This window comes from Homo sapiens, chromosome 2 (assembly GCF_000001405.40).
Source record: "Homo sapiens chromosome 2, GRCh38.p14 Primary Assembly".
Taxonomy (NCBI): Eukaryota; Metazoa; Chordata; class Mammalia; order Primates; family Hominidae; genus Homo; species Homo sapiens.
Genome location: NC_000002.12, coordinates 54,897,264 through 54,922,873, shown reverse-complemented (window position 1 = coordinate 54,922,873; position 25,610 = coordinate 54,897,264). Strand labels below are relative to the sequence as shown.

Here is a 25,610-nt window from a genome sequence, read left to right as displayed (position 1 = left end):
CCCTTCTACTCTCTACTTCTGTGAGTTCAACTTTTTTAGCTTCCACGTATATGTGAGATCACAAAGTATTTGTCTTTCTGTGCCTGGCTCATCTCACTTACCATGTCCTTCTGGTTCATCCACATTATTGCAAATGACAGGATTTCCTTCTTTTTTATGTGAATAATACGCCACCATGTATATGTATATATACACAATAATTTCCTTATCCATTCATTTGTTGATAGATACTTCAGTTGTTTCCATATCTTGGCTATTGTAAATAATGCTGTAATGAACATGGTGGTGTAGATATCTCTTCAAGATACTGATTTCACTTCCTTTGGATATATACCCAGAAGTGGGATTACTGAATCATATATTAGTTTTTAATTTTTTGAGGAACCTCCATATCGTTTTCCATAATGACTGCACCAATTTGTACACTGTTGGTGGGCATAACAGTGTACAAGGGTTCCCTTCCTTTACACCCTCACCAACACTTGTTCTTTTTTTAATAGACATCCTAACAGGTGTGAGGTGATATCTGTGATTTTGACTTACATTTCCCTAAAAAGTGATGTTGAACATCTTTTCACATACCTGTTGGCCATTTCTATGTCTTCTTTGGAGAAATGTCTATTCAAGTCATTTGCCTGTTTTAAAATCATAGTTATTGCTATTGAGTTGTAAAATTCATTATATATTTTGTATATTAACCCTTTATCAGAAACATGGTTTGCAATTATTTTTCCCATTTGATAGGCTGCCTTTTCATTTTGTTGATTGTTTCATTTGCCATGCAAAGCTTTTTAGTTTGATGTTGTCTCACTTGCTTTTGTTTTTGCTTGTGCTTTGGCTGTTACATCCAAGAAATCACTGCCAAGACCAATGTCAAGGAGCTCTTTATATTTTCTTCTAGGAGTTGTATGATTTCATGTCTTACATTTAAGTCTTTAATCCACTTTGGGTTAATTTTTTTAAATGGTGTGAGATAAAGTCCAAATTCATTCTTTTGAATGTAGATATCCAGTTTCCCTGACACCACTCATTGAAGAGACTGTCTTCTCCTTACCGTATATTTTTGGTATCCTTGTCAAAGATGGACTATATAATATATATGGATATATTTCTGGCATCTTTATTCTGTTTCATTGGTCTATGTGTTTTTATGTCAGTACCATACATTTTGATTACTATAGCTTTGTAATATAGTTTGAAATGTATATTTCAAAGTGTGACACTTCCAGCTTTATTCTTTCTTGGGATTGCTTTGGCTATTCAGGTTTTTTGTGGTTACATACACATTTTAAGGTTGTTTTTCCAATTTTTGTGAAAAAAATGCCTTTGGAATTTTGATAAGGATTACATTGAATCTGCAGATTATTTTTTGGGTAGTGTGAACATTTTAACAATATTAGTTCTTCCACTCCATGAACACAGGATCTCTTTCCATTTATTTGTGTCTTCTTCGATTTATTTCATGAGTGTCTTACAGATTTCAGTATACAGTTCTTTCGCCTCCTTGGCTAAACTTATTCCTAAACATTTTATTTGTCTTGATGATACAGTTTTTGTAGATAGTCTAAGTATATAAAAATGTAATTGAATTGTATATGTTAGCTTTGTATCCTACAACTTTACTGACTTTATTAATTCTAATAGCTTTTGGGGGGGTCTTTAGGGTTTTCTATATATAAGATCATGTTGTACATAAATAGAGATAATTTTACATCTTTCTTTCTGATCTGGATGCCTTTTCTCTCTTTTGCTTGCTTAATTGCTCTGGCTAGGACTTCCTTGTCTTGTTCCTTATCTTAAAGGAAAAGTTTTCGGCTTTTCATCATTGAGCATGTTAGTTGTGGGTTTTTCATTTATGGCCTTTATTGAAGTTCCTTCCTTCTATATCTAATTGAAGTGTTTTTAATCATGAGAGGATGTTGAATTTTGTCCATCCTTTTCTCACATCCACTGAGATAATCAAATGATTTTTATCCTTTATTCTCTTTATGTGGTACATCACATTTACTGACTTGCATATGTCGAACCATCCTTGCATCCCAGGAACACATTCCACTTGATCATGGTGTATGATCTTTTTAATGTGCTGTTGAATTTGGTTTGTAGTATTTTGTTTCAGATTTTTGCACCTATATTCATCAGGCATATTGGCCTGTAGTTTTCTTGTAATGTCCTTATCTGGTTTTGGTATCAAGGTTCTACTGGCCTTCTAAGAAGAGTTTAAAAGTGTTCCCTCCCCTTCAATTTTTTTTCTTTTTTTGAAAGAGTTTAAAAAGGATTGGCAATATTTTTTCTTTAAATACTTGGGAGAAATCACACATGAAGCCACATGGTCTTGGCCTTTTCTGGGAGGTTCTTGATTACAGATTCAATCTCTTGTGCATTATTGATCTGTTCAGATTTTCTATTTCTTTGCACTTCAGTTTTGGTAGGCTGTGTATTTCCAGATATGTTTCATTTCTTCCAGGTTATCCAATTTGTTGGCATGTAATTGCTCAAAGTAGTCTCTTATGATCCTTTGTATTTCTACAGTATCAGTTATAATGTCTCATCTTTCATTTATAATTTTATTTGAGTCCTTTTTTTGGCTAGTCTAGCTAAAGGTTGGTCAATTTTACCTTTTCAAAAACACCAACTCTTAGTTTCATTGGTCTTTTCTATTCTCTTTATAGTCTCTATTTTATTTATTTCTGTTCTAATCTTTATTATTTCCTTCCTTCTGCTAACAGGAAGCTTAGTTTGGTCTTCTTTTCCTAGTTTTCTGAAGTGTAAAGTTAGGTTATTTGAGATCTTTATTTTTCTTTCTTAATTCTACAGTTTACTTTAAATTACAGAATTTAGGTTGTGGGTTTCTATTAGTTCACTATATTATTCTCTCGTCTTATGTGTATGCTTCAAAATCTTCACAATAAAATCTTAGAAAAAAGCATACACAGAAGATGAATGTGCAAAATACAAAACATAGTGTAACTTTGTTGAAACAGGAACGGGATTCCAGAGCTTTTGCACTGGTTCCTTCCTTCCCACCTGAGATATACCTCCCTGGAACTCTGGTCTGAGGAACACAACTTGAAATGACTAATATATAGATAAGCCACCTTGTCAGGTAGGGGAAGTACTAGCAAGATGCAATAGTACTGTGGGGGATTTAGTTATCTAAATAGCTGCTCCAAAACCTTGGTCTACTAAAACCAGGGTATCACTAACTTTTTGCCTTGTACTGCTAGCAATTTCATTTACACACAGAAATAGCAAGGAAAATGGCTACTTAGAACTAAATTCTGATCAAATAGGAAGGGCTGGTAAGTGACAGATCATTGGCAGAAGGTTGCCAGGCGGCTTTGGGATGGGCAATGAACGTAACACTGGACAGAAACAGATGTGTATCTCAGGGCTACTCACCATGATAACCTAATCAGTTATTAACAAAGGAAGGAGAAGAAAGGAAAAGTGTCCAAAGTAACCAAAGTGGCCATAGAGGTAACTGCTATGTTCAGGTTAAAATGTACAAATGACAGGAGTAGCAAATAATTGAGATTGAATACAAAAGCCTTGCACCAACTTTTAAGTGTAGTTTCTGGAATGCTAAAGACAAAAAATAAGACTTTTGAAAAGGATTGGGGGGGGGGGGAAGCAAAATAGAGGAAAGTTAGGAACACTTCTCAATCAGGTGGCTTCACATGAACTGAAAGTCAATTTCTCATTTCCTCTGTCAAAGAGAATGTTCTTCAAACCGCAAAGGAGAAAACAGAACTCATTTACGTGAGTATAGGTGCCTTCAAACGTGACCACAGAAATAATACAGTAATAGCTGAAAAGTTTAGGAATCAGGAGAGGTGGCATCAAACACAAAGCGGTTCTTGTATCCCAGTGGGAAAACAAATAGGCTCCGGAAAATATTGATTCATGAGGTAATGTAATCCCTGGAAAATTCTAGGATGAAATATTACACAGGAGTTCGATAAGCATTTGGAAAAAGAAGTAGTGATAACCAGACAGTAATGGGTACACTGTGAACTAACCTCACATATTTTATTGGTTGGTTTATTAGAAGGAGAGATTAAGGATGACAGAGACCACTATCCACTTGTCTTTAGGCAAGACATTTGCCAAGAATTTAATGATGTCTTCTTGGACCAGGATAAATGACTGTACAGGGGGGTAAATTTAAATGTCTGTTACTGATTAAAGAATTGTTACAACGTGTAGATTAATAAACAGAATGACAGCTGGGTATGGTGGCTCATGATTATAATTCCAATACTTTGGGAGGCCCAGGTGGGAGGATTGTTTGAGTCCAAGAGTTTGGGACCAGCCTGGGTAATATAGTGAGACCCCATCTCTACAAAAAGTAAAAAAATTAGCTGGGCATGGTGGTATGCACATAATCCCAGCTACTGGGGAGGCTGAGGTGGATTGATTGCTTGAGTCTAGAAGGTAGAGGCTGCAGTGAGCGGTGATCGTGCCACTGTATTCCAGCCTGGGAAACACAGCAAAACCCTGTCATTCATTCATTCATTAGTTAAAATAAATAAATAAATGGAATGTAAAACTGAATTGAGGGGGAGGTTCCTTGAGTTGACGTGTGATTGTTCCAGTCTGTCTTTTTTTCTATGATTTAGAACTCGGGATTGTGAAAGCAGAGGATGACATGATGCTGCAAGGGAGAGAAAATGCTCTGACAAGGTATTCAAAGATACAGATAGGATGGAACACTGAGAAGAAATAAATAAAACTCTTTGGGTATAAATGTAAAGTTCTGTACTCAGATCTTAGAAAATCAATTGTGTAAGTACAGGCTTGGGGATAATCTGAACATTTTTGAGATTGACGTCTATGATTCAATTTTGTAGTGTGGCAGCCAAAAGGGCCAATGCCATTTTAGTTTGATTTAACACAAGTGTAAAACTCAAAACCAAGAAGGTAGCAGTCCCACTGTGCTCTGACCTGATCAGATTACAACTGGAACACTGAATACAGTTCTAGACTAGACAGTTGAAGGAAGAATTGATAAACTGGACTGTGCTTAAGGGAGGGGACAGCTGTAAGCCATCGAATATGGGAAATGGCTGAAGCAACTAGAAAGGTTAGGCTGGAAAAAAAAATGAGACTTCGGGGAGTCAAATGTGATCTTACTACAGATGACGGCTGTTAGAGGAATGGAATGGTTTAATGATGGTTCAGAAGGTAGAACTTTATTTAAAAAGAAAAGAGGCCAGGCGCAGTGGCTCACGCCCATAATCCCAGCAGTTTGGGAGGCCAAGGCGGGTGGATCACAAAGTCAGGAGTTCAAGACCAGCCTGGTCAAGATGGTGAAACCCTCTCTCTACTAAAAATACAAAAATTAGTCTGGCGTGCTGGCAGGCGTCTGTAATCCAGCTACTCGGGAGGCTGAGGCAGGGAATTGCCTGAACCTGGGAGGCAGAAGTTGCGGTCAGCCGAGATGGCGCCACTGCACTCCAGCCTGGGCAAAAGAGTGAAACTCCGTCTCAAAAAACAAAAAAAAAAAAAAAAACAAAAAAAAAAAGGGAAGAAGAGAATTCAGCTCAAGATAGATAAAAACGTTTTAACAATTGGAGGTATTTAAAAATCAGTTGGGGTGCTGTGTGATATTAAGTTCCTCATCTGTGGAAGTATCCTAATGAAAGTTAGAAAGGCACTGGTCTGTGAGGTTGTAAAGGTAACACTTACTTTGCAGTTTGTGAGATGTTGGATTTGGTGACCACTGAAGGCCTTTCAAGGTAGAATTCTATGCCATGAGAATTGCACTGAAATTAGTCACTCAAACACAATGTCAGGGAGGTTTTTATACAGCATAAATAATACTCCGATAATGTGAATTGCTTATGACTTCAAATTTTTAAAAATGCACTTAGATACAATATTTAAGGTTATTAAGGAGACTGAGCAAGTAAAGATAATAAACACGCAATATTACCTTGACAGGATATGAAAAAAGCTTAACGAAACCAAAATCATCTCCGGTGGCTAAAAGGGAACAGTCTTTGGTAAGACTGGCAGCATTTACGTCAGTTATATCGCTATGTGCTGGCCAGATTCCCTCACAGGTGGGCCCCAGGACACAGGTCCATGTGTCCCACTCTATCTTCTCGATCTGAAAAAGAACGAAAGAGAATGATATTTTTGCACAACCTAGTTTGTTTTATTTAAAAGAAACAGTTTGCACCTGAGTAATTCTAAATTACTTTGCCAACGTTAGGCATTTGTGTTGAGTGCTGAGGTACACAAATTCTAAGTTGCATATTTAAAGTGGTTATTTGCATTGTCTTCAGAAGCCAACACTGCAGTCAAATACCCAAATGTTTTTCTCTAGATAAAATGAACATTTTGAAATTGTGGAAATTTGATAATAATAAGGTATTTTAGTTCTTAACTAGACATTTATCATTGTATAAGCCATAAGCTGGATCCAGATTCCCCAACGCCAGCACTGATGTCTTAGGCTGGAAAATTCTTTGTTGTTGGGACTGTCCTGTGCGTGTCAGGATGTTTAGAGCATCTCTGGTCTCCGCCCACTGGATGCCAGTAGCATACCCTTGTCCCCAGGCATTGCCAAATGTTCCTGGGAAACAAAATTGCTCTCAGTTGAGAATCACTGACCTAGGCTGATCAATGGAGATGATCATTTAGCCAATTATTTTAAAAAGTTACAAGACACAACTTTAAAAAACATGACTGCTTCCTTGGAGGAAAAAGTAATAAGATTCTGCAGCAAGCTTAATATCCTGTATGCTCTAGAGAGACTACTTTAAAAATCTGAAGAGCTATTCATATTCTATTGCCATGAATCTTTTATCCTTTAAAACTGTTTTGTCTGAAATTCTTGGCTAGAATATTTGTAATTTGTATAGGTTAAATCCTGATAAGACTGAGGTTTTTCTTTCCACTTTCTTAAAACAATAATAGACAATAACAACAACATTATGGCTTTCTGGGAGATTTTATCTCATTTACTTTCATTCAACATCTGCTATTATACCTTAATATTCCAGTTTCTTTAGAGAAAGCACTGGAGTAAAAGAAATTAGAGAACTGTAGCTAAAATTAAAGCCCAGATCTCTCTTTTTGAATTTGAAACTGTTTTGCACGCTGCTAATGTACCCTGCCTAATTTCTGCTTGTTGTTATTGCTTAGAAGAGAAATTACAAGATAAAGATGCAGCCAGGAGTTTTAGTCACAACGTGGTAAGGTGCTATACATTTGTTAGTCCCTCAAATTTCTCATTTAATCTTGTGTGTTTCTTTTGGAGGCACACAGAGGTGGAAACAAAAATCTGAATCTGGTCCTGTGACTTGGGGGCCTTGGGTAGGAACACAGACCAAGGTGACTCAAGGTGGTTCCCCCAGAAATCACCTCAGTTTTAGAATTGGAGTCCCTCAACCCCTTATGATGTCCTAACCTAACCTTCACAGGAAGAGAAGCAGGGAACCATCCCTTGCTGGTTCTGGAAGCATGCTTTTGGCCATTGACTCCCTTCCAAATTCTAGATTCCATCTCTAAGACTCTCCTAGTCCACTCGCAATCCCTACAGTGATGCTGGCCTCATCCCAGCAGGAAAGGAAAGGGAGCTGGTATTGCTCCCCTGGCAGACACCCCAACACAACACTGTTGGCCAGATCAGGGCACCGTGTTCTCCAGGGGAAGCAAATGTCGAACTTGCTGGAAGCTACAGAAATTGCACTTAAAATGGAGCATTAAAAATGATACCTATAATCCGTCAATGCAAAAGGGTTAAATAAACTTGTTGAAAATGCTGGAACTAAGATGGAAGGAGAGTCCTCAAGGGATCCCTTCCTTAGCACCTTGCCTCAGGTAGACATGTTATCATTTTGCAAAGGAAGCAACTGAGGCCCACAGACAGGTTACATCACTGCAGTCACAGCATGCTTAGGAAGCCGAAGGGGGAGGTTTGCTCCAGAGAGTTTGCCTCCCAATATGGTGCTGCTTTAACTGTACCATTTGTATCAGATGGATTTGAAATGGGCATTTTAACATTTGTCATATTTTAACAATTTGCTGGGTAAGCTTTTTATTAGTTTACCATGATTGTTTCTTAAAAAAAAAAATTGCTTCTTTGAAAAAGATTTTCCAAAATCCCTCATGCTCAGTCAAAGGGCCTTATAATATTGGGACTAACATGATGAGCTACCTCTTCAATGCTCTCAGTAGCGGCACTACTAGGGAAGTTGGCCAAGAAAGCATCAGTTGGAAGGACTCTGCAACCAACATCATCAGGAATCAGCCTCTGGAGTAACAAATGTGCACCACAGGGTAACAAATTAACTCTTAACTCTTCAGAGCAAGAGCCTGTCACTTTGGGAAGCATTATAACATGAATTTTCCTTTTGTGCATTATCTTTTATATAATAATTGCTCATCTGTTCCAAGCCAGCCTCATCCTCCTCTACCATTTGGTTAAATTACATTTCATTTTAGTATACTTATTTGGGGGCACTAAAACCGGAAGGGAAAGTACAGCTGAAGTGATGTGAAATGACACTTAAATCCACAGGAGAAATTGAGAGGCTTCATGGTGTAGGCCATGGAGTCACACATAGATGCCTTTGGGTTAAGATCACAGTGCTGTAGGTCTTTTGCCCTTACAGAGCCTTAGTTTCCTTATCTGTAAAACCAGATTGACAACTATCATGTAAAGCTGTTATGAGGATTAAAATATAGGTGTATATATTCTGAAATTCATATGGAGCCAAAAAAGAGGCTGAATAGTCAAAGCATTTCTAGGCAAAAAGAACAAAGCCAGAGGTATCGTATTACTGGACTTCAAAGTATACTACAAGGCTACAGCAACCAAAACAGACTGGTACTGGTATAAAAAGACATATAGGCCAATGGAATAGAGAACCCAGAAATAAAGCTGCACACCTGTAGCCAGCTGATCTTCGACACAGTCAACAAAAATAAGCAATGGGGAAAGGACTCTCTGTTAAATATATGGTGCTGGGATAACTGGCTAGCCGTATGCAGAAGAACGAAACTGGACCCCTACATTTCACCATACACAAAAATTAACTCAAGATGGATTAGAGATTTAAATGTAAGACCTCAAACTATAAGAATCCTAGAAGAAAACCTAGGAAATACCATTCTGGACATTGGCCTTGGGAAAGAATTTATGACTAAGTCCTCAAAAGCAATTGTAACAAAAACAAAAATTGACAAGTGAGACTTGATGAGTTTAATTAACTAAAGGGCTTCCACATAGCAAAAGAAAATATCGACAGAGAAAACAGACAACCTACAGAATGGGAGAAAGTATTTGCAAACTATGCACCTGAAAAGGGTCTAATATCCAGAATCTAAAAGGAACTTAAGTCAACAGGCAAAAAACAACCCCATTAAAAAGAGGGCAACAGGAGTTGGAGACCAGCCTGAGCAACATGGCAAAACCCTGGCTCTACTAAAACTATTATACAAGAATTAGCTGGGCATGGTGGTGTGCATCTACAGTCCCAGCTACTCGGGAGACTGAGGCAGGAAGATCACCTAAGCCCGGCAAGTCAAGGTTACAGTGAGCCGTGATGGTACCGCTACACTCCAGCCTGGGTGATACAGCAAGACCCTTAGAAAAGGGTCTTAAAAAAAAAAAAAGTGGGCAAAAGATATGAAAAGACACGTCTCAAAAGAAGACATACAAGCAGCCAACAAATATGAAAAAATGTTTATCACCAATCATTGGAGAAATGCTAATCAAAACCACAAGATGCTGTCTCACACCCTTCAGAATGGCTATTATTAAAAGTAAAAAAAAAAAAAAAAAAAACAGAATCTGGCAAGGCTGAAGAGTAAAGGGAATGCTTATTCACTGTTGGTGGGAATGTAAATTAGTTTAGCCTCTGTGGAAAGCAGTTTGGAGATTTCTCAAAGAACTTAAAAAAGAATTACCATTCTACTCAGCAATACCATTACTGGGTACATACCCCAAAGAAAAGGAATTGTTCTACCAAAAAGACACATGTACTCATATATTCATTGCAGCACTATTCACAATAGCAAAGCTATGGAATCAACCAAGATGCCCATCAGTGACCAACTGGATAAAGGAAATGTGGTACATATATACCATAGAATACTATGCAGCCATAAAAAATAATGAAATAATGTTCTTTGCAGCAACATGGATGTAGCTAGAAGCCATTATATTAAGAGAATTAACGCAGGAACAGAATACCAAATACCACATGTTCTCACGAGTGGGAATAAAGCATTGGGTACACACAGACAGGAAGGTGGGAACAACAGATACTGGGGATTCCTGGGGGGCAGAGAGAGGAGGTGGCAAAGGCTGAAACACTATCTACTAGGTACTGTGCTCTCTACCTGGGTGATGCAATAATTTGTATGCCAGTCCTCAGTGTCATACAACAGACCCATGAAACAAACCTATGCATGTATCCCCGAATCTAAAATCAAAGCTGAAATTAAAATTAAAAATAAAGGTGTATAAAGTATCTGGCAGTCAACAAATTACCAGTGAATGAAGGACGTAATTAAAAATACCTCTTACTCAAGGCCATAAGTTTCTCCATATAAAAAAGTTAAAAAGAGGACGGATCAGAGACAAATAAATTGGAATTGGGGAGGGGAGTGAGATCAAATTTCTCAGTGAACAGTTTCCATTAATACAATGCCATGATCTATAACGATGTATATTTTTTAAGTACTACACATATACTTCCTTTACAAACAATGACAATGCAAATGTACACGTGTCCAAATGTCTTAGGGAGAACCTTACAATACTGGGACAGTTTAAGATACTGGCAAACTGAAGCGAGGGAGAGGCAGATGCCTGCCACTCAGTGGCATACCCTTACCTCCTTTTCCTCTAAGGAAGCAATATTTCCTCATCCTCATCAACAGTTAGACCAGGGCTCATTATGTGTACACCCTGAAAGAGGTACGCATCTACAAAAGCCATCTAGCTTTCAAGAGGTGTTAGTTTAGGGATTCAAAAATTTTATCTAGGCTTTGATTTCAGCAACTAAAAAATCGTGTATGTAGCTAAGGACATGAGGAAACATGGAAAAAAGAAAACAGTTTGATACAATACAATGGTCAGATTGCAGATTGTTTTTGTCTCAAAAAATAATTTCCAGGCTGGACACGGTGGCTCACGTCTGTAATCCCAGCACTTTGGGAGGCTGACGTGGGCGGATCACCTGAGGTTAGGAGTTCGAGACCAGCCTGGCCAACATGGGGAAACCCCATCTCTACTAAAAAAATAAAATAAAAAAATTAGCTGGGTGTGGTGGCAGATGCCTATGATCCCAGCTATTAGGGAGGCTGTGGTGGGAGAATCACATTAACCTGGGAGGGGGAGGTTGCAGTGAGCCAAGATGGTGCCCCTGCACTCCAGCCTGGGCAAAAGAGCAAGACTCCACCTCAAAAAAAAAAAAAAATTCTGTTGTTATAGATAATAATGTTCATAATTACAAATAACCATTGAGAAAACATGTTTCAAAATATATGTTCATAAAAAGCTTTGCACAAAATGACATGTCAAATGGAAAAAGGAATATATAACATCCAAATTGCTAGCTTATTCATTGTCTTCAGGCAGAGAAAAATTAAGCAGAGCACCAACTGTACATTGCTACACCAGTGGTGTGATAAATCCATATGTTCTGGGAACCTGGAAACCAGATTAAGCAATCAGATTGAAGACACGATCAAACTTAAAGGTATAGTAAATATAACCCATATTAGTGGTTAACGTGATAGGTTTTATTAAAATGCACATATTAAATCTTCACAAAATATCTTTAAAAATCTTTGTGTATGATTATTACCTCTGAAGGTCTTATTATATGCCGTTTGCCTCTTGGAGCTTCAAAAAAAAGTTGTTCTCTGGCACCTGAATTCACTTGCAATAATTTTCCTGTTACGACAGAACGAAGTAGAGAGATAATTAAAATCTGACTTTATCTCTTTATTATAAAATGAGAAGCATGGGTGCTATTTTGATTCATTTTAATCAAAGTCTCACAAATTGAGTAAATACATTTTGAATTATTCAGAAGGGCATGTACAGCCAATTACATGATGTGGTACAAACCCCAAAGCTGTGATTTTTAGAATATGGACTTCATAATATTTGATCTTCAACATCCTTCAAATAACAGAAGAATAAAGCTTGATATGTTTTATTGATATGCTGCACTGAAAATATAGTTTTCCAAAGCCTGAGAAAAATCAGTTTTCCCCCTGTTTTTCCCAGTTGCCTCTCAGCAAACTGTGTTGGCAAGAATTATGTCATTGGAAGATTATGGCAATTAGAAATAAAACACTTACTGTGAGCATTCACATTTACTTAGGACTGAGTTCTAAATTTGCCTTTAAAGTTTAGAAACAGAACACACAAACTATAAATGCTCATTCCTTCCCCACCCTCTGGTCTTACTTGAACATTTGAAAAGAAATCCAGGACTTTCCCCAAGGAAAATGTTGGGCAAAAATAGTCTTTCAGTCTGATGTACAATTATAATCTTGGATTTGACGTTGAAAAAGGTTAGATTTCCTAATTCTCCTCCTACAATGGCAACAATCTTGTAAGGCTTAAAATGTAAATGACTCAAGGTATTTATGTTCCAGTATTTTTGCCATTTTTTAAATATTATGGAAAGTTTCAAACATGTATAGAAGAAGAGTATAAAGAACCCCTGTATGCCCACTGTCCAGCCTCAACAGCTATTAACACATGGCCAACCCTGTTTCATGAACCTCCACCCTAGATTATTTTGAAGCAAATTTCAGACGTCATAATATTTCACCTATAAATAATTCAGTATACATATACATAATATTTCTCCTTTTGTTTTTTCCCATAACTATGTATATCTAGTAGTTTTGAAATATCTTTCTTAGAAAAATAATACCAAAATAAGAACTTTTTGGTTTAGATCGTGTTCTTTAGCATTTAAATAGGCACCACCTTGATCTGAAATCTAGCTTGGCTAATCTTTTTTTTTTTTTTTTTTTTTTGAGATGGAGTCTCGCTCTGTCACCCATGCTGGAGTGCAGTGGGCAGTGGTGTAATCTTGGCTCACTGCAACCTCTGCCTCTCAAGTTCAAGCGATTCTCTTGCCTCAGCCTTCTGAGTAGCTGGGATTACAGGCACCCACCACCACACTTGGCTAATTCTATTTTTTAGTAGAGACAGAGAGTCATCATGTTGGCCAGGGTGGTCTTGAACTCCTGACCTCAGGTGATCTGCCCACCTCGGCCTCCCAAAGTGCTGGGATTATATGGCATGAGCCACCATGCTCAGCCTAGCTTGGCTAATCTTAAGAAGTTGTAGATCTACTTCTACCTGACTAAAAATAAGGTTCTCTCATTTCCAAACTGACAACTTTAATCATTTCTAATTTGGTGAATTATAACACAGTGATTAGGGGATTTTTCCTTGACTTGAGCAAATATATCTGAAAATGTGTACCCTGAAATGGGCACATCTTCTGACTTTATGGCTGAATATATGTAAGTGAGAAAAGAAAAAAGGGAGTTAGTTATCTTTGACTATTTAGAATTATAAGAAAATGAGTAACCAATACTTTTCCGATGAACTAAATACATCTGTAAAGTAATTCTATTTTTAGGACACTCAAGAGTGATTGCAAATGACAAAGCACGTGGACGGTTATTCAGTGAACACATTCTTTGAATATGGCTAATTTTAGATGATATTTGGCCATGAGATACTAAGATAATTCAGAGGACTGTAATCCTCAGATAAATCCCAACAACTCACTTTACACCATAGTTTCAAAGATCATACTTCACTTAAAACCAAAAATGAGAAAAATCTCTCAGTGAAGTAATTTATGATTGCAAAAATATTCGAGAATCTAAACACATAGACAAGTACCGTAAGTGCTGTGTAGCATTGTAGACAGCTTGTAGGGTCCCCTATCTAGCACATGCCCCTTCCCCGAGAACTGCCCCCGCGGTCATGTTTATACTCTGCGGGCAGATGTTGATCCTGGAGGGGCCAGGCTCACACTGGGCTGGGTAATCAAAGTTCTCTCTTGGTAAACTGGAATCTGAGAGGCTGAATCAGTTGGTGCCTACAGGGATGAGATGTGGACTTTGGGCCTGTGGGTGGCATTTTGGGGCAGCCGAGGCTGGGCCATGTGCAGATGAAGTAGAGAAAGGCTGCTTGTGCAGAGAGAGGGGTCAAAGGCAGAGATAAGACCCAGAAGAGCAGTGGATGCTGAAACTAGCTGCCTAAGAGTGGGAGAGGAGGGGAGAGGAACTGCTTGCTTGGTTCCTGTGCGTTTTCTAGTTCATTGCTAAACTCAGTTCCTTGGCAGGTGTTCTTTCCTGCTCTTGGATTCTATAAAATATCTCCGTATCTTTCCAATAAACTCATCTGTTATTATTACTTTAAAATTTAAGCTGGTTTCCAGCCTGGGCAACATGGTGAAACCCCATATCTACTAAAAATACAGAAAAAAAATTAGCCGGGCATGGTGGCAGGCACCTGTGGTCTCAGCTGCTTGGGAAGCTGATGTGAGAGGATCTCTTGAGCACAGGAGGCACAGATTGCAGTGATCTGAGATTGCACCACAGCACTCCAACCTGGGTGACAGAGTGGGACCCTGTCTCAAAAAAAAAAAAAAAAGTTTAAGCTGGTTTGAGTGGGTTTCTGTTCTTTGCAATCAAGGATGTCAAGAAGAAAAAACCAAACCAAAAAGCTATTCTTCTATTAGAAAGGAATAATTAAGGGTATTTTTTTAAAACCAAAATTTTCTTTACTGCTGCTAATACATGTTTCTTAAGCATGAGGAAATATTTAGGTCACCACTCCTTTTTCTCTCTGCCTGCTGTGATATCTATCTATCTATCTATCTATCTATCTATCTATCTATCTATCTATCTATCTATCTTATCTATCTATCTATCTATCTATCTATCTATCTATCTATCTATCTAATCTATCTAATCTATCTAATCTATCTGTCTCACCACTGACATATTCTGAGGATGAGGAGCAGAAGCAAGAACAAAAACTCTGTTTGCATTTATAATTGCTCTTGAATAACAGTAATCCTTTCAGAATCACATTTTTATTCACTGGAAATATCTGCTCACACAGATTAAAAACTGAAAGACACCCATGTCCTTACATCACACATCTTGCGGGTACCATAGAGCTTTGCAGCCCACAAAGTGATCCACATACATCATCCCAGCTGCTATATAATTTACAAGTTAGAATAATTCTAACAACTGGTACTAAATATACCAAGTATCAGGCCATCTGCAACAAAAATGGGAATGAAATGTCCTATTATGGCTCAAATTGTCATTTTTATTATTACTTTTTGAGACATAGTCTCGCTCTGTTACCCAGGCTGGAGTTCAGTGGTGCCATCTCAGCTCCCTGCAACCTCTGCCTCCCGGTTCAAGCGATTCTCCTGGCCTCAGCCTCCCAAGTAGCTGGGATTACAGGCGCCCGCCACCACACCTGGCTGATTTTTGTAATTTTAGTAGAGATAGGGTTTCACCATTTTGGCCAGGCTGGCCTCAAACTCCTCACCTCAGGTCACCCACCTCAGCCTCCCAAAGTGCTGAGAATACAGGTGTGAGCCACCGCACCCAGCCTTCAAATTGTTAATTTGTAAAGGATGTTATAGCCTGATATTTCTAGAAATGAACTTGTAGCATTTAGAAAATACCCTTTCTATGTTTTCTCTCCCTCCATACATTTTTTCTTTCTCAAGCATTCCATGCTGGAGCTTTCATTCAGGGGTAGCTGATGTTCCTGCAAAAGCCCAGTGCACTTTTTGGTTTTCCAAGGACCTGTAGTTGCCATGGGCACAAGAGGCTGCTGAGGCTGGCGGCTGTGCCATCCCCCACCCTGAGAAGCCAGCTGGCTCTGGCAAATGCTTTCACTATTTTCGACAGGATCAAAGGCATGAAACAGAACCCTGCTTCTAAATTCTGCTCTCAACCTTGCCAGACTCTGGAGGCCCCTGCTGTGAAAGCTAGGCTGGTCTTGAGGCAGCATGGCACATTCTCGAGATCAGGCATTTTGGGGACTGAGGTGTTGGGAATGCAGGAATATCAGGATGACACATGTCTCATGGCTAGTGGAGTTAGATCAAGGAAGATTCACAGGTATTCTTGCTCTTATTCTCCAGATGGTGTAATTCCTCCCTAAAAATCAGAAGTGTCTCTACTACTCTCAATCCACAGAAAGCACTTGGTCTGACCCCCTCACCTGCCTGCAGGGACCCTTACAATGAGAAGCATGGTGGCTTTTCAAAGACCTTTGACTCCACTCCTCTCCTGCTCATTCCCAGGAGCCTCCCTCAGCATCCTGAGCTCTAAGAGGCTGGCCTTGGGCAAGATTATGGAAATAGGGAGGTTTGCTTCTCTTTCCACCAAGTGATGGCTCCATATCGAGGGACTTTACACAGACCTTCCCCCAGGCCCCTCCACAGCAGCATCCCCCTGATCCTGGCCGAGATCTTGTGCTTTCTATCTGGGACTTACTTCTCTTTATATCCCCACCATCTGACACAGGGCCTATACATTTGCAGAATTAAGAACAAACAAACTCCCTAAACGCAAATGAAACCCAAAATGAGATACACTTCATATCCATTAGGACAGCTATTATCAAAATAAACACATAAAATAAGCTTTGGCAAAGATGTGGAGAGATTTGAACCCTTGTGTACAACTGGTGGGAATATAAAATGGTAGAGCTGCTATGGAAAACAGTATAGTAATTCCTCAAAAAGTTAAAAATAGAACTACCATATGATTCAGCAATTACACCCTTGGGCATATACCTCAAATACTTGAAAGCAGGGTTTTGAAGATATATTTGTACATCCATGTTCATAGCAGCATCACTCACAGTGGCTGAAATGTGGCAGCCACACAGGTGCCCCTCAACAAATAGATAAGCAAAATACAGTCTATACATAAAATTAAACATTCAGTCTTTAAAGTAAGGAAATTCTGACACATGCTACAACATGGAGGAATCTTGAGAACATTATGCTAAGTGGAATAAGCCCATTATAGAAAGACAAATACTGTATGCTTCCACTTATACGAGGTACCTAGAGTGGTTACATTCATAGAGACAGAAAGTAAAATGGTAGATGCCAGGTGTTGGGGAAATGAAAAGTTATCATTTAATGGGAATGTCATCAGTATTACAAGATGAAAAGAATTCTGAGATGGGGGCAGTGATGGTTGCACAACAGTGTCAATGTTTTTAACGTCCTTGAACTGTACACTTAAAAAATGATTAAAATGGTACATTTTTGTTATGTGTACTTCACAATTCAAAATAATTAAGAAATCTTCCCAGTCAAAATTTACTCTATATATACCCTCTTTTCTCTGGACTCTTCACTCCGTAATAGAAACAATAATGGGTTTTAATCCCTAATAGTCATTGAGTGGTGGGATTTCACGTATTGTATCAGGTATTTTGTGTGTGTGTGTGTGTGTGTGTGTGTGTGTGTGTGTGTGTGTGTGTGTGTGTGTGTCGGATTCTAAATAAAGTTAATCAGACCCTATTCTACCTGGCAAGAGAATAGCAAGATAATAAATAGGGAGAAATCACTGCTTTAAAAAAAAAAGCAGAGAATATCAAAGAAGGGTCTGAGAAGCAGCTGCTTTCATCGGCCTCACCAGTTCCTAGATAAAGTCACAGTGCCCTGCCTGGTCATAAATGCCGGTCAAAGCCCTCGGCACTTTGTCTGGCCAGCACTGCCCTGACATGAAAGCGAAACAGACTTATCTGATCTCCCTTTGCCCTTGTTGGGACTTGTACCTTTTATAAATGCAATGCATCACATGCTTTTTTCTCTATCTACTGCACCGTATAAAACTCCTGAATGTTGTAAAGCTGAAATAAAGTCCAAATTCCAGTGTGGCAAGTATAGTTACAACTAAATACCTGCCAGGCAGAAGGGTTTCCAAGTCCTGGTCTATGGCCACTACTCCAAGAAATACTCTGAAATAACCTTTTTGGCAGAGGCCTTCATCATCGTTCTCCTGATTAATTTGATTGCTCCAACTCCAGGCTCACTTCTTCTCCCCAAGATGGGAGGGAATGCCCCACGCTAGATCCCTCAGAGTTACATAGTGCCTACAAGTACACAGTTCAGCATGAAAGTTCTGCTCTATCCCAGCCTGTGTCTCCACATTCCCCTCCCTTCACACCCTCAGCCACTGAGCACTTCTATTTCTTCATCACCCCCTGGTTCTTCCCACCTTCACTCTTCATATGCCATATTCCTTTTGCCTGGAATGGCTCTTCCTTGATAGCGCTATCTGGTGGATTTCTCCTTATCTCTCAAGATCAACCTCAAAGGTCACTCCCTTCTACAGAGGCTCCATGGATTACCTCCAAGGAGCTTTCCCTCAGAGCATACATTGGGCTTGGTGCTTCTCTACCACAGTGGACTACAACGTCTCTGAAGGTGGGAATGCTGTCCATTCCCAAGTACCCGCTCCAGACTCTCAACATCAGCCGAGTCTTGAGGATAGGATTTACGAGTGACTCACCCTATAGTGCAATGTTCCACCCTGGGTACTGAATGCTGCCGTGGCCCATTCGGAGTCCCTGCTCACCACTTCCCTTGTGACTCACCACTGCTTACTCACACGGTACCCATTTTGTGCTCTTGTATTATTTATGGATAAGTATCTCCCTCACTCAATTATAAACTCCACAGGGAGCAGAAACCATGTCTTACTCACTTCCAGAGCCTCCACATTTGCTAGCTTAAGACTATGCAACACCATAAAAGCTAGAGTTATTAAATAGACAAATCCTCATGGCATTTGTGGGCATGACTTGGAGGAGGTAGGAGTAGGTTGGGAGTTTTATAGAGCAGAGAAATTTTAGGCAGGCTGAATGTAGATTTCTACCTCTGCTGGAGGAGGAAATTTGCTTGAGCCTTTTTGGGCGGTTCTCCAAGAGGTGGAGCTTTGGGTGGAAAAGGGAAACCAGCCAGGAGGAGGATGAGGGGACCCAAGACAAGGAGAAAGCACTCCCAACTAAAGGTGAGGTGGTGGCTTGCTATGATAACAAAAGGCATCATGTATCTTTAACTGTCTTAAAACTCAATGGCTTGAATCAATAGTGACAATAATCATCCTAAGCGTAAAAAGATGGAAAAAGTATTCAAAATGTTAGCAGCAGCTGCCTCTGGGTTGTAAAATTACAGTCGTTTATATTGTTGTGGGATTCCCCTTTCCCATTTCTAACACTCAACTGCCATTCTCTCTAGAAACAATGCATAAATGGACATTTTTTAAACACAGAAATTCTATTTTAAAAGCCACAACATACTTTACCTCTAGAGTCCCAGTCAATGTGTGTAATATAACTAGAAGCACCTTTACAGATGCCAACCCTTTTGCTTGTAAGTACGTTGTAAATATCCACAAAGTTATCATGGGATGCCACGGCAAGGTATTTTCCCGTATCTGTTAAGAAAAATGTGGGGTTAACATCGAAGCATTTTATATAGGAATTTACTTCCAGGAACTTAGTATTTTAAAAGTGGGAAAATGGTCAAAGAAACATTTGAAATAGTTCATTCTTGTAATTTTTTGTCCCAAGACTGTGCTATTTTAAAAAGTATCTGCTGTCATCTTCACCTTTTGAAAACTTAATATCAGAGATCATTTCTTTTCTGTGATGGAAAGAGACCATGTCTTCAACAGTGTCAGCATTTACCACCAGGAAACTCCCATCGTTCAAGCCAACCGCTAAGGCTTTCCCATCAGGGGAAAAGGCACAGCATCTTCCACCTACAGAAGAATCCACAAAAAACACTTATTATCCAAAACTTCACTGTCAAGCAAACCACATGAAAAGATGAAGAAATCTGATGATGTGCATTATGTATGGACACGTGACTGCCTTTAAATTGACACTACACTTGTGAGAACTAAAACTTCCTAATTTAAGACACCTCTTGTCTGGGCGCAGCAGCTCATGCCTGTAATCCCAGCACTTTGGAAGGTCGAGGCAGGTGGAACTCTTGAGCCCAGGAGTTCGAGACCAGTCTGGGCCACATTCCGTAGGTTAAAAATTAGTTGAAAAGTTATTTTTTGTAGAGGCGAAACCCACCCTGTACAAAAAGTAAAGAAATAAGCTAGGTGCAGTGGCTTATGCCTGTAATCCCAGCACCTTGGGAGGCCAAGGCAGGTGGATTGCTTGAGCCCTGGAGTTCAAGACCAGCCTGGGCAACGCAGCAAAATCCCATCTCTACAAAAAATACAAAAATTAGCCAGGAATAGTGGCACATGCCTGTAATTCCAACTACTCAGGAGGCAAGGTGGAAGGATCACTTGAGCTTTGGAGGTGGAGGGTGCAGTGAGCAGTGATCATGCCATGGCACTCCAGACTGGATGACAGAGGGAGACCCTGTCTCAAGAAAATAAAATTAAGTATCTCTTCTCCCCAAGTCCAAGGAAAAAGATCATAATATCAAAAATACATTTTCAACTTCCATGAGGTTTATTCATTCATTTATGAGTATTTAAATACCTGGGGTTTCCAAAAAATAAGTGGGGTAAATGGAGAAAAGGAGTATAGGGTTAATAGGACCAGTATCTTTGCTTCGAAGAAAAGAGGTAATATTTAAGAATAGGAGTTCTATAATAAAATTTCCAGAAACCATTTTTTTTAAATATTAAGCCTTACATACAACTTGCTTTAGAGGACCTCATTCTTTTAGTTGCTCCAATTCTCTGATCCACGGATTGTAATGTATAACTCTAGAGGTGAAAGATGTTGTTCTTGCCTCTTCTGTCACGCGAAGAATGGAATCTGAACATTCTCCCAAGGGGTTTCTGGAAAACTAATTGGCACTAGGGTGATGGTGCTCCATGAACCATGTTCTCTACTCCTTTGTAGGGTCACAAAGACATTTCTGAATCAGGAGCATGGACTTTGCAAAGGTATGTCTAAAAGGAAACTGATTCAAGAACATGCCTACCCTCTGCCACCATTCTTATTGTCGAGCGTTGTAAGCACACCCCAGGGATAGGACAGCCAGGTGGCCTTGTGCCAGGGCATTTAATACCGAGCCTCTTTACCAACTCCTCTGTTCATGGTATGCTGAAAGCTGTGTTCATGCTCAAAACTGACGTGCCAGTACTGAGACAATGAAAATACAAGCCTGCCCTTGAAGAGCATCATCAAGATTAGGTTAATCACAATCTATCGTACAGACCAAGACACGTTTGAGAGTGAAAAGGAAAGCTATTAATAATTATACCAGAACAACAGGGGTAAACTGGGTTGAATGGTTATCCTATCTAAGATGGGTCAATAGTTGTTCAACTAATTTTTAACTTAGAGAATAAAGTCCATTCACTGACATTCAAGTCCTTCACAGTGAGGACTTGGCCTATCATTCCCCCGATATAAACTAGTAGCCAAAATGATTCTAGCCTGTAGTGATTACGAGCATGGGCTTTGGACTTAGATTTGGGAAATCCTGCCTCCACCATTTACCAATCCCCAGGAGCCTAGTGTAAAGACAGGCAACACGGCAGAGGGAAATAGTGTTAAGCAGTGGCCACAGGTGTGTTCTCACAGTCACACTGCATGGGTTTGAATTTGGTTCCATTACCTACTAAATGTGCAAACTAATTAAGCTTCCTGTGCCTCAGTTTTCTGATTTGTAAGTGGCAATAATAATAGCCTTACTCATGGGGTTCCTACAAAGACTACATGGAAAGAGCTGGCATAGTTGTTGGCTCAGCCATATTAGCCACCATCACTATTGTTACTACTGTTTTGACACCTTTCTTCATTTTATTACCCTAGAATACAATCCTCATGTCTGCTTATAAAATTACTCAGTACAAATATTTTAGGGTCAGACCTCAATTTCATCCTTCCCTCTTAAGAACTTTTACAGATCCTTCAAGCCTCAGCTCGTCACCTCTCTGATGAAGCATTTCCAAGCAGTAGATGTCCTCTGAGGCTCCAGGGTACTTTGTGCCAAATATCTTTAGTTTGTCCTTTCACATCCCCTTTTTGCCCTTGTCCACCCTGCTCTGTGCCTGAAGCTGGTCTGCATGGAGAGCATCAATGGGCTCCCTTGTCCTCTGGTTTCAGGTTGACTTTGGCCAACGGGGAGCACTGGTGGGAAATTAGAGAGATGGAGGAAGAATAGGGAGGCCGGGCCATTTATTTCCCTGGCTGCCTCCCGCAGGGTCACTGCATGCTGGCAGAGTCCCCTGCTATCAGTCGTGGCTTCTCTCAGGCTGCCATCTCATGTGGCTCTCATATTCAAGGTTGCAGCAATTGTCCTCTCCTCCTGTCCCTTCAAGCCCAGGGCCAGTGAGAGCAGCCGCCATTACTAGCTGCATAGTGCTGCACTATCCCTGGTCATTTCCTCATACCTTCCCCATCCCTTTATATAAATAGTCCCATTTTAAAGACTCTCCTCGAATTACCCAATTTGAATGGATATGTTGCTGAGACTCTGTTCAAGTCCTGTCTATCTCTGACACTAGAGATGGGACCATTCATCATGGGATCCCCTGTGCCTGCCACACAGAAGCTACTTAATAAATGTTTGCTGAATTTGTACCTCTCAGTACACCTCATAGTTCTAGTGCATTTAGGTGTTCAAGACATATTTACTCATTTCTTAAGTATTATATTTCTATATAATTGATGTTTGTTTTCAAGTCATAAAATAAGTTCTGGAGACTGTTACAAAATAAATAGCATTCTTTAAAAGCTGATGAATTTCAATTGACTCCCACAGCTCTCAATGAGAAGAGGAAGGACATATTGCCCCCAGGTGGCAAATATCTGTGCAGTGCAAGGAAAATGAAGTGAAAAATGGAGCTGGATTAGGCCAGCCTTCTGGCATAATTCTACATGTGCTTAGTTATGACTGTAGCAACCAATATAAAATTCTCATTGCCCAGCATATTTATGGGCATATAACACGTGCCCTCAGTAAATATTAACTGAGTGAATAAATATGACACATTCTGTTACTTGTAAATACTCTGACAGATGTGTAAGGTGGTGTTATGTACCTTTTTTGAGTTTCCGTACTGCCAGCATACGGTGCTGGGCAGATAGTTCCCAGATGCGAAGTGTTTTATCATCGCTCACTGTTGCACAGATGGGCAGGAGAGGGTGAGCTGCCAACCCCCACACTTCTCCTTCCATGTGCCCCTGTGGGAGAGGAAAAGGGGCAACATAAACTCTACTTATGCTGTTTGGCTAGCCCTTCTTTAGCCTGGTGCTACATATTCAGTCCAAGAGTACCACAAAAAAGCACAAATAGGAATAAACACACTTTGAGCTTCCTTGAACCAAAATCATCACCCGAAATAATTTTTTCATTTAAACTTGAATCTACAGCTAGACCTACACGATGCTAAATCATTCATTTGCAAAGCAAAACATGAACTCATTGCTTATTGGTTTTGTTTATATGATGCCAAACATCTTTCCATTTAGAAACATCCAGGTAAATGGTGAAATGCCTGCTTTTCTGTTGTTTCATACTAAATAAACATAGTATATATGTACCCTCCTAGTAAAGCAGCTTAATCACAAGGACACAAACCACTTCCTTCAGTTAAATCATATTCTAAAAGATGCAGGTACGACCCATTCATGTCAGTGAAATTGAAGAGCAATATTCTAATTATTTATGCAATTTTAGTCCTTTGAATGTGTAGCATTCGGCAGAGCAGAAGTAAAGGAAGCTAAATTTTCATTTCAAGCGTCCTCGGTGTAGCCCAGGTTCTGCGTCTGTTCACAAATTGGTCTGTCCATGTGCCAACAATGAACATCAAAAACTGAAAGGTGCTTAATAAGCACTGGACCAATTCCATGTATCTGTATCTTATCACAAACACACTTGGCTGGCTTAGAATAATAACTAAGAGAAAGCAGTATTTTTTTATAACGAACACTTAACAGGGAGAAAATGAATTTGATTCTCATAATTTTTCACTCTATAATGCAGTGTGTAAAGATTAGTGCTACAGAGCAATAAAACAGACCAGATTAACTGTTTACTGAATTTTGGCTTTTTAATGGCTAATTACAAAAAGGCTTTGCTTAGTAAAGCAAAAAGGAAGCCCACACACAGGCATCTGAAAGGTGTTTGTAGCTGGAATGCTTTGGGGAACAGGTGGCTTTCCAAAGAGAAATTGGATGATTCCAATTTAACTGAGAAGCTATTTGAGCAAAACAGTAATTTGGCAGAAGATGTAAAGTTCCAAATACAACTGACATTCAAATATGAGAAAATGAGGGCTGAAGGATACAGACATTGTTTTTGAATTTATTGGATTTGAGGACACCCTACATCCCCGGTTTTCTAGCCTTCTCTTTGGAAGCCTCCCAGCCCCAGAGTCACAGTCAGGGTACAGCTCAGGGGTCAACCTCACATCTTCCCAGACTGACTCTGCTTGAAGCTCTTCTATAGACTGAGCCCCTTTGTGTATTTTAGTTAAGAACAAGATTGTGGGACCCAGAGATCCTTTTAAACCACTGCCTTATATTGACATCAAAATTGTATTTCCTTAATCTGTTTATTTTAATCCCCGTGTAACACAGGATCGGACAGTAAGCGAGGCAGGCTTGAAGGACCTTGAATGGCTCAAGGAAATGGGCTTAGGATCCTGCTTTGCTGCTGATCACCCACAAAGCTGATCATAAACAGCTGTACAACTGCGAGCTGACTGCTTCAAAGCACACATGACGGGAAATGCCACAACCCATCACCTGCCATTCTCCCCTCCCCCAACCTTATTTTCTCTTAAAAAATAAGCAGTCTATTCCAACTGTGATTGGATTGCCGTGCCACCAAAACCGGCAAAGTGGATCTAAAATCTTCTTCCGGCAGGACAGCCCATCGTCTCACTCACACTGCCTCTACAGTTCCTTCACTTTCCCTTGCTGTCTCTATCATCTCTCAGAACAGGACTGTGACACGGTCCTGGGCAAGCAGGAAGCCCTTATTCCACTGCACATATACACAGCACAGAGCAGACCTGGGCAGGAGCCCAACAAACATTGACTGAACTGAAATAATGAGATCCACCTAAGAGGAAATAGCAAATGAGAGAGCAGAAGACGAAAAAAAGATGCTGAAAAAAAAAAAAGGGAGAGAATGGTACACATGTAGGTGGCAAAGATGGTAACTAACATCTGGTCTGAAGCTTCCAGCAGCTCAACCAGCCACCCCATAGCTCAGGGGCTTTCCTGAAGTGTCCAAGCTAAGAGATGTGGGGAACAGCCTGGTGAGGTGAACAAGGGCTCTGGCAAACCTTGGTTGGAATCCCAGCTCTGCAGTTCTTAGCATGTGACTGTGGGTAATTTTCTGGGCTTTAGGTCCCTCATCTATAAAACAATGTAACAGAGCCAATCTGTTGTGGAGATGAGACAAATGTCGTACAACGGTATTGCCTGACACAGAGTAGGTGCTCAATATATGATTGCTGTGGTTATTTTTCTTATTAGAGCAATAGAAACAAACATAGGAAAGAATAGAATTGTAGAGAATTAAGAAGTGAAAAGCCTTGGTCAAGCATAA

The 25,610-nt window shown here is 39.7% G+C and overlaps 1 protein-coding gene across 10 annotated transcripts in view, besides 1 other annotated feature; it reads right to left on the bottom strand.

Moving 5' to 3' along the window:
• Positions 1-25,610, bottom strand: part of EML6 (EMAP like 6) — a 248,474-nt gene that overhangs the window by 49,152 nt on the left and 173,712 nt on the right. For 8 of the 10 annotated variants that reach the window (XM_017004098.3, XM_047444299.1, NM_001039753.4 and 5 more), the window contains 5 exons: positions 23,092-23,233; positions 19,678-19,830; positions 19,372-19,503; positions 11,832-11,920; positions 5,939-6,115 (listed from right to left, as the gene is read on the bottom strand). In XM_017004098.3, the coding sequence (XP_016859587.1) occupies positions 5,939-6,115; positions 11,832-11,920; positions 19,372-19,503; positions 19,678-19,830; positions 23,092-23,233 (693 nt within the window). Of the gene's footprint in view, positions 1-5,938; positions 6,116-11,831; positions 11,921-19,371; positions 19,504-19,677; positions 19,831-20,728; positions 20,934-21,978; positions 22,178-23,091; positions 23,234-25,610 lie in introns of those variants that run through there. The other 2 variants (XR_001738743.2, XM_017004102.2) reach the window with 2 other exon arrangements.
• Positions 18,039-19,238: an enhancer, noted in NCBI's record as "CDK7 strongly-dependent group 2 enhancer chr2:55130773-55131972 (GRCh37/hg19 assembly coordinates)". NCBI's record gives its function as "activates an origin of replication core promoter dependent on BRD2, BRD4, P300/CBP, MED14 and CDK7 cofactors, with strong dependence on CDK7, by STARR-seq in HCT116 cells {active_cell/tissue: HCT116}" and the evidence as "EXISTENCE:reporter gene assay evidence [ECO:0000049][PMID:35650434]".